General features: G+C 43.4%; 1 protein-coding gene across 1 annotated transcript in view; it reads right to left on the bottom strand.

Moving 5' to 3' along the window:
* MRTFB (myocardin related transcription factor B) overlaps nt 1–17407 on the bottom strand; it is a 272006-nt gene that overhangs the window by 227928 nt on the left and 26671 nt on the right. The gene's annotated exons all lie outside the window — the stretch shown is intronic.

Raw genomic sequence — 17407 nt, 5'->3', positions numbered from 1 at the left:
GTGGAACTGTGAGTCCATTAAACCTCTTTTTCTTTATAAATTACACTGTCTCAGGTATGTCTTTATCAGCAGTGTTAGAACTGACTAATACAACCATGAACCAGAACCAGCCAGCCAAGTTGCTTCTGACTTCCTGACCCATATAAACTGGGGTATAATAACTGTGTATTGGTTGAAGCCACTAAGTTTGAGGGTAACTGTTATGCAGCAATAGGTAACTTGTACAGATATGGTTGCCTGCCAAAGCTCTGTGTCTGAGGCCCACTCACCATGTGCTCTGGTAGGTATCAGAAAGGAATTAAAGACACATTAGTACTAAATCAAACACTTTCTTCCTCATGTAATCAGAAAGATTGATTATTCCTCAAGACCTGTTTCTGTGTTTGATATGAAGTCAGTCCCACCACCACAGGAGCACATACCTTGGGAAACGCTGATCTGGTCTGTTATGGAATGAATCTTGTCCCCTCTGCCTCTAAATGTATATGATGAAATCCTAACCCATAGCACTTCAGAATGTGAGTATATTTGGTGACAGGGTATTTAAAGAGGTCATTAAGGTAAGATGAGATTATTAGGGTGGCCCCTAACCCAAAATGACTGGTGTTTTTATAATAAGAGGTAGTTAGAACACAGACACACACAGAGGGAAGACCATGTGAGGACACAAGGAGAAGATGGCCGTCTACTACCAAGGACAGAGGCCTCAGAAGAAACCAACCCTGCTGATACCTTGGTCTTGAACTTCTAGCCTCCAGAACTGTGAGAAAATAAGTTTCTGTTGTTTAAGTCACCCAGTCTTTTGTTATGGTATCTCCAGCAAAGTAATAACAGCCCAGGTATGGAGATACCATAACATACCCAACATACTTGCTTTACAAATAACGACCGTAGGTCCAAAGGTAGAGATGACTTGGCCAATGTCACAGAGAAAATATTTAATACAAAGCAGAACAGAAATGAGAGCTCCTTTCTCCTAATTGGAGTTCCAAAAAGTGAGAGCAAGCCCCACAGGTAGAGAAGGTAGAGATGTCAGTCAATGCTGGCTGACATCCGCTGAACTCCTTGTTCCTCGTTCATGATGATAAGTGAGGAACCTCTGCCCTCAGCCTTCTCTGCCTCATGCACTTAAGGTTTCTCCTTAAGAATCAGCCCCAGTTAGACCTTTTCTTTGCAGATTTACCTCCTGATGGAAAAGCAGCCAGTCCAGGGAACTGTGCTCTTTTCCAGGAAACAATGACCACAGCCATGAGAGCACCCAATACGGAGGCAGTGATCAGAAGCCCATGAACTTTCAAAACACAAAGTTATACAGAGTAAAACAAGTCTCACATCCATGTAAAAAGAACTCTCAATGGAAGACACCCTTCCCCCATTTGAAAATCTCCAGCCCCCACCCACATGTCCAGCTGCCTCTGGACAGCTCCATCTGGGTGTCTCCTCAACACTTAAAACCTGTCAAGCTCAAAATAATCATCCTCCCTCCGACACCTCCGCCTACCATAGTCCTGATTTCATTTAATGCCATTGCCATAACAATAACCATGATCTACCATCTATTGAGCGCCAGCAATATGCCAGGTCCTTCACAGGAACCATCGATCAATTAAACGCAATCATACAAAGTGACTGTCATTGCCCTTCTACGGATGAGGACATCACCAACAGTGACATGGTCATGCATCTCGTAAGTGGCAGAGCTGGGATGCAAATCCAAGCCTGCCCAACTCCAAAGCAAACCGGTGGCCCATCGGCCACATCTGGTCTACAGATGGGTTTTCTTTGGCCTCAACAATGGTTTTTCTTGTTGCTTAAAAAAAATAGTAATTAAAAAGTCAAGACATTTCACATAAAAACCAGATTTCTGGAATCTCTAGAAAAAAAAAAGTGAGATGATCTGGCAGTGTGAACTTGACAAGCTAATTAACTTCTTGGAGCTCAGTAGAAATAATGAAAAGGGGAAAGCTGCTACTCAGCTCTGGAGCGTGTTTGGGGTTCAGTGGGGGCTGGCCCTGGGGGCCAGGTCGTGGTAGTAATGCCTCTTGTTTCCTCCACACTCACCATGAACTTTAAGAGTGTATGATGGAGCTGAGATCCTACCCCAGGCCAGATTCCAAAACACCAGGCTTATGAAATCCTGGACTATGATAGACATAGGTAGTTATATATATATTTCTATATATATGATGGAATGTATATATTTCAACATATATATGATGGAATGTATATATTTCAACATATATATGATGGAATGTATATATTTCAACATATATATGATGGAATGTATATATTTCAACATATAAATGATGGAATGTATAATTTCAACATATATATGATGGAATGTATATATTTCAACATATATATGATGGAATATATATATTTCAACATATATATGGTGGAATATATATATATAAGTCTAACTGGGGCTAACTGGGGCTGATTCTTAAGGATAAATAATTATTTTGAGCTTGGCAGGTTTTAAGTGTTGAGGAGACACCCAGATGGAACTGCCCAGAGGCAGGTGGACATCATATATATATATATATATATATATAAATATATATAAAATACATATAAATCTTATATATATATAATATATAGTATAACATATATTATATAAACTATATTATATATATTTTATATAATATATTATATATAATGTATTTTATATAATATATAATATATATTTTATATAATATATATTATATATATAATATATAATATATATTTTATATAATATATATTATATATATAATATATATGATGGAATACTACTCAGCCATAAAAAGGAATGAATTAATGGCATTTGCAGCAACCTGCATGGAATTGGAGACTATTATTCCAAGTGAAGTGACTCAGGAATGGGAAACCAAACATTGCATGTTCTCACTCATAAGTGGGAGCTAAGTTATGAGGATGCAAAGGCATAAGAACGACACAGTGGGCCTTGGGGACTCAGAGGGAAAGGGTGGGAAGGTGGTGAGGGATAAAAGACTACAAATTGGGTTCAGTGTGTACTGCTTAGGTGATGAGTGCACCAAAATCTCACAAATCACCACTAAAGAACTTTGGTTACTCATGTAACCAAATACTGCCTGTTCCCCCAAAATGGAATTATATGGAAATAATTATATGGAAATCATTTTTTTTTAAAAGAAAGAACTAGTTTGTGTGGCCTTGTGCAAATCATGACAGAGCCTCAGTTTTCTCATCAGGAAAGTGGGGAAGTGACATTACACATACCTCATAGAGTCATTGAAGATTAACATATAATAAATGCTTAAAATAGCGTCTGGCACACATTTTAGTAAGCATGATCTAAGCTTATTAGTTTTCATATTTTTATTGGTCTGAGTTTTATGACTGCCACTCTACTCCTATCAAAAGCCAAGAGAGCAGCTCTGCATTTTGCACCAAGGCCGGATAAATTGCCTATTCAATAAATAGCTAAATTTCTGAGATAGAAGAAGGCAGGAAGCGGGCTGTGCTGCCTGCAGATCAGTTGGAATAAAAGCAGATTTGGGGTGAGGAGCTGTGGACCTGGTGACCTGCCACCTCCTGGCTGTGCCTCTCTGTTGTTACACAACTCCTCTGCACTCCTGTTCCCTGATTTATAGGAAAGGGATCATCACAGGGGCTCAGGGAGGATCGCAATCTTATGCAGTCTCCTTGCATTGGTGCAGGGGTTACATTTGTTTAGGATGTAACTGAGCAACTTTGGTGACTTCCACTACTCGTGGTTTTGCAGGCACGCAACATGGAGTAAAGCCACTTCAGAGGTGAAATCTCCAAAAGCTCAAGGCCAGGTACTTTCCGACCATGTTTCTGTCTCCATGGGGTGGAGGAAGACATAGACATACCCTCCCCGGGACCAAAGGCAGGGTTGGCTCAGCAGAGAAAGCGTAGAGGAGATAGGGGCCCGGACACTCAAGGAGAAGTCCTGGCTGCAGGCCTGGGGTGGTGGGGCCTTCCTTCCTAGTTGCTGAACAGGCCTGTTAGGGGTCGAATTGTGTCCTCACAAGAGATGGTGAAGTCCTTACTCCCAGTACCTGTGAATGGATGGTATTTGGAAACAGGGTCTTTGCAGATGATCAAATCAAGATAGGGTCAAGAATGGGCCGTAATCCAATAATACTGGTGTTTTGGAGGAAATTTGGACACAGAGAAAGACAAACAGAAAGGAAGGACAATGTAAAGACACAGGGAGAAGATGGCCTTTTTTTTTTTTTTTTTTTGTGAGATGGAGTTTCACTCTTGTTGCTCCGGCTGGAGTGCAATGGCACGATCTCCACTCACTGCAACCTCTGCCTCCTGGGTTCAAGTGATTCTCCTGCCTCAGCCTCCCAACTAGCTGGGATTACAGGTGCCCACCACCACGCCTGGCTAATTTTTGTATTTTTAGTAGAGACGGGGTTTCGCCATGTTGGCCACACTGGTCTTGAACTCCTGGCCTCAAGTGATCCGCCCACCTTGGCCTCCCAAAGTGCTGGGATTACAAGGGTGAGCCACCATGCCTGGCCAAAGATGGCCATTTATAATCCAAGGGACACCTGGGGCTACCAGAAGCTGGAAGAGAGGTGGGGACAGGTTCTCCCTCACAGCTTCCAGAAGGAACCAAAACCTTGCTTTCAGATATCTGGCCTCCAGAACACTGAGCCAATACATTTCTGTTGTTGAAGGCACTCAGTTGGTGGTACCTTGTTACAGCAGCCTTAACAAACTACACAAAGCCTGAATGCCAAGAAACAGCAGCAAGGCCTGGGGCCTGAGCTCTCTCTAGCAGAGCCCTAGGAGCTCTGGGAGAAGGGCGGGAGCGGACAACCTGATGATGCCAAGACAGACCTGCACTCATAGCCACACACAGCGGGCAGAAATAAGGAGCACCTTCAGCTTTGTTCCTCCATTGCCTAGCCCTCTTAAATGGTGGATTTCCTTATTTTGAACCACACTCACCACACAGTTTTTATTTCTATGTTTAAAATTTCTTCTTCTTCTTCTTTTTTTTTTTTTTTTTTTGAGACTGAGTCTCACTCTGTCGCCCAGGCTGGAGTGCAGTGGCGCGATCTCAGCACACTGCAGCCTCTGTCTCCTGGGTTCAAGCAATTTCCTGCCTCAGACTCCCAAGTAACTGGGATTACAGGTGCGTGCCACCATGCCTGGCTAATTTTGTATTTTTAGTAGAGATGGGGTTTCACCATGTAGGCCAGGCTGGTTTCAAACTCCTGACCTTAAGGTGATCCACACGCCTCAGCCTCCCAAAGTGCTGGGATTAGAGGTGTGAGCCACTGTACCTGGTCTATTATTATTATTTTGATACAGGATCTTGCTCTGTCACCCAGGCTGGAAAGAGTGGCACGAACACGGCTCACTGCAATATCCTGGGCTCAAGCAATCCTCCCGCTTCAGCCTCCCAAGCAGCTGAGACCGCAGGCATGTGCCACCACACCTGACTAATTGATACATTTTTTTGTAGAGATGAGGTCTTGCTATATTGCCCAGGCTGGTCTTGAACTCCTGGCTTCTAGGGATCCTCCTGCCTCGGCCTCCCAAAATGCTGGGATTACAGGCATAAGCCTCTGCACCCGACCTATGTTTTTTTTTAATTTTAAATTTTTGTAGAGATGGGGCCTTGCTACATTGCCCAGGCTCGTTTCAAACTCCTGAGTTCAAGCGATGCTCCCACCTTGGCTCCCGAAGTGCTGGGATACAACATGCTTTTTAATGTCTGTTCTAAGAATGCAAGGGCCTGATGGGAGCCAAGATCTAGAGCTTCCCAGCTATCTGTCATTTTCTAATAACCTTCTCTGATTTTTGCAGACCTACTAAAAAAAAAACTACAAAGGGAAACAAACCTTTTTCTCTTCTATGCCCACAGAGAAGAGCATGTCTGTGGTTCCAACTACTTGGGAGGCTGAGGTGGGAGGATTGCTTGAGCCCAGGAGGTCAAGGCTGTTGTGAGCTGTGTTTGCACCACTGTATTCCAGCCTGGGTGACAGAGCAAGATCATGTCTCACTTTTGACACCAAAAGTGTGGGTTTTCCACACCAAGCAATTCTCCAAATCTCTGCAGACACCAACTGGGTGTCCTATAATTTAGTTAAATCCTGGCAGTAGCTACCTGGGGTTCATATAGACCCCACAGGTTAAGGGCCCAGATCCATAAGACTGCCCCCACTTCAGCCTCCAATCACAAGTAGTGGGTCTCCAGGTTACCCACAACTTCTGTCTGACAAATTGGAGGTTCCCATAATCCCCCTTCTCAGGTTCAATAATTTGCTAAGACAGCTCTCAAAACTCAAAGAAATATTTACTTGACGCTTGCAGCAAAAAGAAAAAAAAGCAGAGAAACATTTATGTACGTTTCTGGTTTATGATAAAGGATTCAAGTTCAATTCCAATGCTTCAATGCAAGAGATGCATGGGGCAAGATATGGGGAACGGAGTGGAGCTTACATGCCCTCTCTGAACACATCACTCTCCTAGCACCTTGCATGTGTTAACCAACCCAGACGCTCTCCAAAACCCTGTCCTTTGGGGTTTTAATGAAGCCTTAATTATGTAGGCATGATGGATGAAAGCATTGGCCATTAGTGATTAACCCAACCTCTGGATCCTCTCCTCCCCTGAGGTCAGGGATGAGGCTGAAAGCTCCAAATATCTAATCACATGATTGGTTCCCATGGCAGCCAGCCCCCATCCTGACGCTGTCTCCTAGTCTGTAGCCTTTTCAAAAGTCACCTCATTAGGCCAGGTCAGTGGCTCACACCTGTAATCCTAGCACTTTAGGAGGCTGAGGTGGGCAGATCACTTGAGGTCAGGAGTTCAAGACCAGCCTGGCCAACATGGCGAAACTATGTCTCTACTAAAAATATAAAAATTAGCTGGGCATGGTGGAGAAGGCCTGTAATCCAAGCTATTTGAGAGGCTGAGGCAAGAGAATCGCATGAACCCGGGAGACGGAGGTTGCAGAGAGCCGAGATCATGCCACTGAACTCCAGCCTGGGTGACAGAGTGAGACTCTGTCTCAAAAAGATAAAAAAAAGTCACCTCACGAACACAGACTCAGGTATGGATGAAAGGGCCTTGTTATGAATGACACCTTTATTACCCTGAGGCTATTTCAGGCCCTGAGGACAAAAACACAAATATTGTCACACATGATGCTCCTTTTGCTCCTATCACTTAGGAAAGCACAAGGGTTTTAGTGGCTCTGACCAGGAGCTGGGAGAAAGACCAAAATATATATATTTCTTATCATGTCACAATATCCAATCCACTTACGCTTGGTCCTAATAGGTAACATTTTCTATGTGCTAAAAGGACAATACGAATACTCATTTAATCATGGATCTGATGTGCTAGTTATTTTTCTAGTACGTAGTAAGATACATAACTGTTAAAATGATAAATGTTTTTTCAAAGTTTGTGAAACTTTGACCTATTCTTTTTTTTTTTTTTTTGAGACAGCCTCACTCTGTCGCCCAGGCTGGGGCGCAGTGGCACAATCTCGGCTCACTGCAACCTCCTCCGCCTCCCAGGTTCCAGAGGGTTTCCTGCCTTAGCCTCCTGAGCAGCTGGGACTACAGACATGTGCCATCATGCTCAGCTAATTTTTAATTTTTTGTGGAGATGGGCTCTTGCCATGTTGATCAGGCTGGCCTTGAACTCCTGGCCTCAAGTGATTCTCCCTCCTTGGCCATCCAAAGTGCTGGGATTACAGGCATGAGCTATCGCACCTGGTCCCTGGATGTTTGTTAATGGGAAAGTCTCTCATTTGGGGCTACTGGCCATGGGGCAGGACAATTATTTGTATAATTCTTTGTCCTGTGCATTGCAAGACATTCCCCAACTTTTATTATATACCTGTAGTGGGCCTCGGCCATCATGACAACCTACGCCCCCAAGTCCATTTTCAGAGCCCCCAGTTGAGAATCACTTCTAGGGAGTCTCCTGTTCCTAACCTGCAGGATTCCTGTTCCCTAAGTCTTAACATTTTACAGATAGATCAATGCCTCTTGCATACCATGACATAACCTTGGATAATCAGCTTGAATTCCCAGTGGCTCCGGGTTCCACTAGGGACTGGTAAAAGCACAGACTCAGGATCCAGGCTGCCTGATTGGATCGGCTCTGCCACCACCTTGGGTGACTTACTCAATGAGTTTCTGCGTTTGTTTCCTCGTCTGTAAAGTGAGGTTGAACTAGCACCTGCCTTGAAAGGCAGTTGGGAGGATGAATGAGAGCATCGAAATGGTTTTTGGCACACAGTCAGCAATTAGGGTCAACTTAAAACACCCCCTGCACACTTGCATTGTCTACTGCATTCAGCCATGTATATTGCATGTCTTATTTCACCCCCAGAATGGTCCCATGAGGTTCATATTATGATTCCATTTCACAGATGATGGAATGGAGCCATAGACAAATGATGACTACAGCCTTAGCACCCACAGCAAGAAAATAGCAGAACCAGGGCCTGAACCAGCTATATCTGACTCCGTGGCAGTGTGGTTAGAGGGCAGAGGGGAGAGCACTGAGCCGGGAGTCAGCAGAACAGGGCTGCTTTGCCCCTGTTTGTGCAAAGGGCTGTTGCTAACCCGCTGTGGGCATCAATGTCCTCATTGGAAAATAAAGGCTTTGGACTGAACGCTTTCTGAGGCTCCTGCTGACTCCTAAGACCTGTGTCTTCTGTGAGACCCAGAAAACTGAGCCAGAGGGGAAGTCAGCCACAGGCCCTGCGAAGACAGCAGAAACCCACCCTCTGGGAACACCCAGCTCCCCTCCTCATCGTGCCCATGGAGGTCTGCCTGTTGGCTGATCACAGGCAGCTCTCACTCCTCCCCTCCCCCCTCCCCATGCCCAGCATCCACCCAACTCTCAGGGTATCTGAGGACGCAGAGGATGTTATCTCAGCCCTGACAAAACCACTCAGCCTGGAACGCTGGGGCCCAGTTCCAGGGAATGAGCCTGCGGAGGCTGCAGGTAACCCAGATAGCCAGTCTCTGTGCCATCCCCAGAGGATGCTGCCCATGGGAACTTCCATGCCCAGGAAGCAACACACAGGGCGGCTGCTTCACCTCTGCCTTCAGAGCTGGACAGTGACTCTTAGAGACAGACACGGGGGGTGGAGGAGGAGGCAGCTCCAGCAGCTAAAAATACCTGCAAATTCTATGTTGTTTCCTGCATGTGCGTACACAGTGACGATGAAGACAATGATGATGGTCACAATATCCCTGCCATTAGTGAGCACCTCTGGGGTACCTGGCGTGATTCTAATGGCTTTCCACACACAAACATATAAAATTAACTATATATATATATGTGTGTGTGTGTGTGTATATATATGTGTATATATATAATGTGTATATACATATGTGTGTGTTTATATATATGTGTGTGTGTGTGTATATATATATATATATATATATATATTTTTTTTTTTTTTTAAGACAGAGTCTTGCTCCGTCACCCAGGCTGGAGTGTAATATCTCGATCTTGGCTCACTACAACCTCTGCCTCCCAGGTTCAATATTTACATATTTTTAACGCATAAAGTCTCTCTCTGTCACCCAGGCTAGAGTGCAGTGGTGTGATCATAGTTCACTGCAGCTTCGACCTCCTGGGCTTAAGTGATCCCAGGAGGGATCCTGAGCCTCCCAAGTAGCTGGGACCACAGGTGTGCGCCACCACACCTGGCTAATTTTTTTATTTTATCTTTTGTAGAAACGAGGGTCTTGTTATGTTGCCCTGCCTGATCCTCCTGCCTTGGCCTCCTGAAGTGCTGGGACTACAGGTATGAGCCACTGCACCTGTCCTCTGGTTACCGTTTAAGATCCACACCTCTTTGAGATTTCCCCAGGATGCTTGTTTTAACTCACTTCAGCTAGATACAAAGGAGACATCAGTGGGAAGAACAAACCCATCCACGATGCTGGGGCCAACCTTCTCCACTGGTACCTGATGCACATGGTGAGGAGTAAGGTGAAAGGATCATATTCCCTGAGCACAAACAATCTGCCTGGCCCTGAGCCCTTGACCTGAATGTTCTCAGTTTCTGCACACGAGTCTAGTAAGCTAAGGAGATGTTAGTCCCAATTTATGGGTGGAAACACTGAGGCTCCATGAGGTGAAGTGACTTGTTCCAAGATCGCACAACTAGGAAGTTGCGGTTGGGACTCCAACCCAGGCCTAAGAGGCTCCCAAAGTGGGCAGTAAAATTCCGAGTTGCAGGCAGGCAGCTCAAAGCAGTTCTTAGCCCAGGCTTGTGGGAGAGGAGAGATGTGTGGGAGAAGGGGCCCCATGTCCCCAGTGCAATGTGCCAAACCGAATGGCCAGAATAGAACAGTGGGGAGATCCTGTCCCTTCCCAGTCCTAGCACAGCACTGCTGCTCACTGTCCACCTGCCTGTTGCTTTTCCAGGAATCACCAGCTCTGTCACTCATCTTCCTGCTGCAGGAAACCCGAGCCTTTCTGCACCTGCCCATCCAGGAGCCTAAGGCCATGGGACCTGGGGGAGGGGTAACTCGAGCTGGAAGACCTGGGTCTGGCCTCTTTTTTGCTACCTTCAGAGTCAGACTAGGGCAAACATTGCACTAGGGTATTCCTTTATTTCACAGTTACTTGGTTTGTTTTGTTTTGTTTTGTTGTGTTGTGTTTGTTTGTTTTTTTGTTTTTTGAGATGGAGTCTCATTCTGTGCCCCAGGCTGGAGTGTAGTGGCACAATCTCAGCTTGCTGTAGCCTCCGCCTCTTGGGTTCAAGCTATTCTCATGCCTCAGCCTCCCAAGTAGCTGGTACTACAGGTGTGCACCACCATGCCTGACTAATTTTTGTATTTTTAGTAAAGACAAGATTTCGCCACATTGGCCAGGCTGGTCTTGAATTCCTAAGCTCAAGCCATCTGCCTGTCTTAGCCTCCCAAGGTGCTGGGATTACAGGTGTGAGCCACTGCACCCAGCCCACAGCTGCTTGTTAACTTCTATTTGCTACACACCATGGTAAGTTGCTGGAGAAACAATAGCAAATAAGATAGGGCTGGTCCACAGAGATACTTCACCCCTTCTCATGGCTGTGACTGCTCTGTCACTGTCCCCAAACTTTCATAAGGAATCCCCTTTAAAGTTAACAAACTTAAAATTTGAAGTAGTTTAAGACTCACAAGAACTTGCAAAAATAGTAGAGCTCCCATGTACCATCTTCGCCCAGCTTCCCCCATGATAACATCTTATACAATCACAGTCACTTTTCAAAACCAGGAAACAGACACTGATACAATAATATTCACTCAACTACACACCTTCTTCAGATTGCACCAGTGTTTACATGCATTCATTTTAATTTCTTTAGCATACAGTACTCTGAAATTTCATCATATGTAGAGATTTCTGTATCTACCATCATGCTCAGGATAAAGATTTTTTTTCTATCACCACAAAGAAATACCCTCTTCAGACCCTGTTATAGTTGCACTGTCTCCAATCCTAACCCCTGGCGACCATCAATCTGTTCTCCATTCCTATCATTTTGTTGTTTGAAGACATTATATAAATGGAATCATATAGAACATAGCCCTTTGACAGTGTCTTTTTTTTCACACAGCGTTGTATCCTTGAGGTTCACTCAAATTGTTGAATCTATCATTAGTTCATTCTTTTTTTGTGGCTGAGTAGCAGTTGGCTTATCTGTCTGTTGATGGAAATTTGGGTTGTTTCTGGTTTGGGACTATTATGAATAAAGCTGCTGTGAATATTCATGTACCGGTTTTTGTACAGACATACATTTTCATTTCTTTGGTATAAATATGCAGGAGTACTATTGCTGGGTCCTATGGTGAGTGCATGTTTAACTGTGTAAGAAACTGCTACACTTTTTTCCCCAGAGTTTCTGTACTACTTTACATTCCCATCAGCAATGCCTGAGATATCCAGTTGTTCTACATCCTCTCCAGCACTTGGTATGTCAATTTTTTTTTATTTGAGCCATACTAATACGTGTGTTGTTGTAGCTCACCATAGCTTTGTTTTGCAATTCCCTAATAGCCAAAGATGTTGAACATCTTTCCATGTGCTTGTATGCCAACCATATATCCTCTTCAGTGAAATGTCTGTTCATGCCTTTTGCCCATTTTCTAATTGGATTTCTTATTTTCAACCACTGAGTTTTTAAAGTTCTTTGTGTATATTCCAGACTCAAGTCTTTTGCTGGATATGTGTTTTGCAAATATTATCTCACAATCTGTGCCTGTCTTTCCATCTTTTTGACTGGCTCTTTCATTAAAACTAAAGTTCTAAGTTTTGATAAAGTCCAAATTATGAATTTTTTCTTTACGGATTGTGCTTTTGGTGTAATGTGTAAGAACTCCTCATCTAACCCTATGTGATGAAGATTTCCCCATATATCTTCTTGCAAAAGTTTTATAATTTTATGTTTTATATCTATGCTCTGAGTTAATTTTTGCATAAGTTGTGAGGCTTGGTTTGAAATTTATATTTTTGGCTATGATTATCTTATTGCTTTTGTATCTTTGTAAAAAATCAGTTGTGGGTACTTGTGTGGGTGTTTTTGATTCTGGATTCTGTTCCATTGATCTGTGTGTCTATACTTCACAGTCACAATGATTTTAACTATATAGTAAGTCTTAACATCAGTGTAAACCTATAATCTCCCAATTTCTTTTTCAATATTATTTTAGCTGTTTTAGTTTCTTTACCTTTCTGTGTAAATTTTGTAATCATATTGTTTACATCTACAAAAAAACCACTAGTGGGATTCTGACAGAAATTGTGCTAAACCTATAAATCTATTTGGGGAGAACTGACATCTATATTATGTTGAATCTTCTAGTCCATGAACATGGTGCATCTCCCCATTTATTTAGGTCTTCTTGATTTATTTCAATATTTTGTAATTTTCAGTGTATACTTTCTATAAATGTTTTGTTAGGTTTATATCCTAAGGGTTTTTTTCCCTGAGTGATTGTAAATGACATTCTGTTTTTCCATTTTGCATCCAAAATTGTTCATTGCTAATATATGGGAAAATGATACATTTTTTTGCATGGTGCCCTTGCATCCTGTTAGCTTGCTATAGTTGTTTATTAGTCCAGGAGTTGTTTTTGTTTTTTTAGATTCCTTATTGCTCTTCCAGCAATCTCCAGTTATTTTACTCAGCCTCACAGACTTCCATGTCCCTATTCTAGGAAACCTGAGCTTCTTGCACCTGCCCAGCCAGGATCCTAGGCCCACAGGGCCCCAGGAGCAGTAGCCAGGAGCACGATGACCTAGGACTGGGCTCCTTTTTCCTACCTTAAGTCAGACTAGGGCAGGCACCGCATGAAGGTTATTCATTTATTCTCTAATACCTAACAAGATCTTACCAGGTGTGGGCACCTTGATAGGCACTGGGTAAACAAAGCAAACTAAGATACAACTGGCCTATAAAGATCTACTTCATCCTTAGGCTGAGCAACATAGGAAGACCCCAGCTCTACAAAAAATAAAAAAATTGATAGCTGCACTTGGTGGTGCGTGCCTATTGTCCCAGCTACTTGGGAGGCTAAGATGGGAGGATCACTTGAGGCTGACAGGTCGAGGCTACAATAAGCCATGATTGCACCACGGCACTTCAGCCTGGGAGGCAAAGTGAAACCCTGTCTCAAAAAATTGAAAACATTTATTTCATCCTTCTTATGGCTGGCTGTTTACTGCCCCATGTCTATCTTGAAGCTTTTGTGATCAAGTACCCTTTGAAGTTTTGAACTTTAAACAACCCTCAGTTGGTGCATATTGTTTGTTTACACATTAAGACATGAACTGTTCTATTACTATATTATGTACATTACAAAAAAAGGAAAAGCTATATGGCCTAAAGATTAATCCCATTTGCTTGGAAATCAAACTGCCTGAGTTCAAATCCGAGCTCCACTGGGGACCTTGGGGAAATTTACATAACTTCTCTGTGTCTTTGTTTCCTCATCTATAAAATTCAGATAATAGCAGCCACCTCATGACAGTGTTGTGAAAATTGCATGCAAAAACAGACCCTGACTCATAGGAAGTTTGCTATTCCTATTAAAACCTGTAAGGTACAAATAAAAATGTAAAATTAAAAAATAGAGATAGAAGTTTTACACTTATTTCTTGCACCACCTCTCAGGAGGTGCTGTATTTCATTTAACATTCCTCTTTTGATGAATGTTTAGGTTGTCCCATTTTTGGTATTATGAAGAATGCAGCAATGGCCATCCTTCTTCGTGATGTCTTGGGTCTAATTGCCAATGCAATTCTAAGGCATTTTCTGAGAAGTGAAACTGCTGAGTCATGAGAAATGCGTGTTTTTAATTTTAATAGCTACTGCCAGGCTGCCCTCTGCAGTGGCCATATCAATTTACATTGTCTGGCCATTTCTATTTCTCTACAGCCACAGCAACACTTGATATTGTTAGACTTTGGCTACCTCTATCTGGGGAAGGAGAGAAGGGACCAGTAGGAAATACAGTGTCCAAAGGAGACATTAGCTTTATCCTCAACATTTCAATGTGCTTATAAAATGCATGCTTGATGACTTATGTAATGAAAAGTTAATCATAAGCAACTCCCTTCAACAAAATAGCTCTGATGAAGCTCAGATCTAATGGGAAAATAGATGCTGAGCAAATGCACAGACAAAATTTATGATTGCAAATGGTAAGAAGGGCTGTGAACAACACCAATAGGAGGCGGCAATGTGATTGCTGATAATAAGGTAGATGATGGTGATAACAGCAGCTGCCACGATGCACCAGGCACCATTCTTTTTTTTTTTTGAGATGGAGTCTCACCCTGATGCCCAGGCTGGAGTGCAGTGGTGTGATCTTGGCTCACTGCAACCTCTGCCTCCCAGGTTCAAGTGACTCTCCTGCCTCAGCCTCCCAAGTAGCTGGGATTACAGGTGTGCACCATCATGCCTGGCTAAGTTTTGCATTTTTAGTAGAGACAGGGTTTCACCCTGTTGGCCAGGCTGGTCTTAAACTCCTGACCTCAGGTTATCTGCCAGCCTCAGCCTCCCAAAGTGTTGGGATTACAGGCGTGAGCAACCACGCCCAGCCCTTGTGCCAGGCACAGTTCTAAGTGCTTTGCATATGTAAACTTATTCACTCCTTGCAACACACATATAAAATATGTATATATATATATATAGACACACACACACACACACATAAATATGTATATGTATATGTATATGTATATGTATATGTATATGTATGTGTGTGTGTGTGTGTGTGTGTGTGTGTGTATCTGCCCTTGGGGGCCGATATTGTTACTCTTTTCATTTTACGGATGATGAAACTGAAGCACAGAGCTTAAAAACTTGCCCAGGGTCACATAATAAATAGAGAAACTAGGATTTAAGCACAGGCCATCAGGCTCCAGAGCCAGGATCTTATTTTGTCACCCAGCCTGGAGTGCAGTGGCACAATCATGGCTCACTGCAGCCTCGACCTCCTGGGCTCAAATGATTCTCCCACCTCAGCCTCCTGAATAGCTGGGACTACAGGCACACACTACTACTCCTGGCTAATTATTTTTATTTTTATTTTTTGTAGAGATAGGGTCTTGCCTTATTGCCAGGATTGGTCTTGAACTCCTGGGCTCAAGCAACCTCCTGCCTTGGCCTCCTAAAGTGCTGGGGTTATAGGTGTGAGCCACTGTCCCCAGTCCTGGAGCCCATATTTGTAAACCAGCTCTGCGGGTTAATAGCTGCTCCCTTTCACTAGAGAATTACTGAGGGTGGCAGAGGGGAAACCACACAACATAAGAGCAAATAAAAATATAAAATTAAAAAATAGAGATAGCACCATGTGGTATAAGAACAGCATTAGGCTGGGCACAGTGGCTCACGCCTATAATCTCAGCACTTTGGGAGGCCGAGGCCGGTGGTCACTTGAGGTCGGGAGTTTGAGACCAGCCTGGTCAACATGGCGAAACCTCACTTCTACTAAAAATACAAAAAGTAGCCAGGCGTGGTTGCAGGCGCCTGTAATCCCAGCCACTCGGGAGGCTGAGGCCACTGCACTTCAGTCTGGGCAACAGAGTGAGACCTTGTCTCAAAAAAAAAAAAAAAAAAAAAGAACAGTATTAGCAATGACTTCTATGTATGTGCTGAACTGACGAAATGTTTTTTATGGCCGGGCATGGTGGCTCATGCCTGTAATCCCAGCACTTTGGGTGGATCACAAGGTCAAGAGATTGAGACCATCTTGATCATCCTGGCCAACATGGTGAAACCCTGTCTTTACTAAAAATACAAAAATTAGCTGGGTGTGGTGGCATACGCCTGTAGTCCCAGCTGCTCAGGAGGCTGAGGCAGGAGAATCACTTGAACCCAGGAGGCGGAAGTTGCAGTGAGTGGAGATCGCGCCACTGTACTCTAGCCTGGTGACAGAGCAAGACTGTCTCAAAAAAAAAGAAATGCTTTTTGCATATACAATTTTATTTAAGCTGAAACTCTCAAATGGGATTATGATAGAGTTGTTAAGTCCTGGCTCCTATCTCCTCTGCAGAGATAGGAATTAGAACTCAGGGATTTGCTCACAATTACAGTAAGTGTTGGAGCCAGGGTAAAAATCCTGTTATTCCACCTCCTTCTCTAGTGTGGTAGGCAGACTGGCTCTCCAAACACATGTAGACTCTACTAGCCTCTGGAACCTGTAAGTGATGTTACATGGCAAAAGAGATTTTGCAGGTGTGATTAAAAGTATAGCCTTTAAAATAGGGAGATTATCCTGGATTTTTTTTGGTGGGCCCAACATAATCCTAGGAGCCCTTAAAGGCAGAGAACTTTCTCTGGCTGGAGTCAGAGGTATGTGGCAGAAGAAGTCAGAGAGTTCTACTTTTAGTTCTTTAAGGAATCTACCATTTGATCCAGCAGTCCCACTACTGGGTATCTACCCGGCGGGAAATAAGTCATTATACGAAAAAGATACTTGCACACACATGTCTATAGCAGCACGATTCGCAACTGCAAAAATATGGAACCAGCCCAAATACCCATCAATCAATGAGTGGATAAAGAAACTGTGGTATATACGATGGAATACTACTCAGCTATAAAAAGGAATGAATTAACGGCATTTGCAGCAACCTGGATGGGATTGGAGACTATTATTCCAGGTAAAGTAACTCAGGAATGGAAAACCAAACATTGTATGTTCTCACTTATAAGTGGGAGCTAAGCTATGAGGATGCAAAAGCATGAGAATGATACAATGGACTTTGGGGACTCAGAGGGAAAGGGTGGGAAGGGGATGAGGGATAAAACACTACAAATTGGGTGCAGTGTATACTGCTTGGTTGATGGGCACACCAAAATCTCACAAATCACCACTAAAGAACTTACTCATGTAACCAAACACCACCTGTTCCCCAAAAA

This window comes from Homo sapiens, chromosome 16, assembly GCF_000001405.40.
Source record: "Homo sapiens chromosome 16, GRCh38.p14 Primary Assembly".
NCBI classification, from domain to species: Eukaryota; Metazoa; Chordata; class Mammalia; order Primates; family Hominidae; genus Homo; species Homo sapiens.
This window is presented reverse-complemented; position numbering and strand designations above follow the sequence as displayed.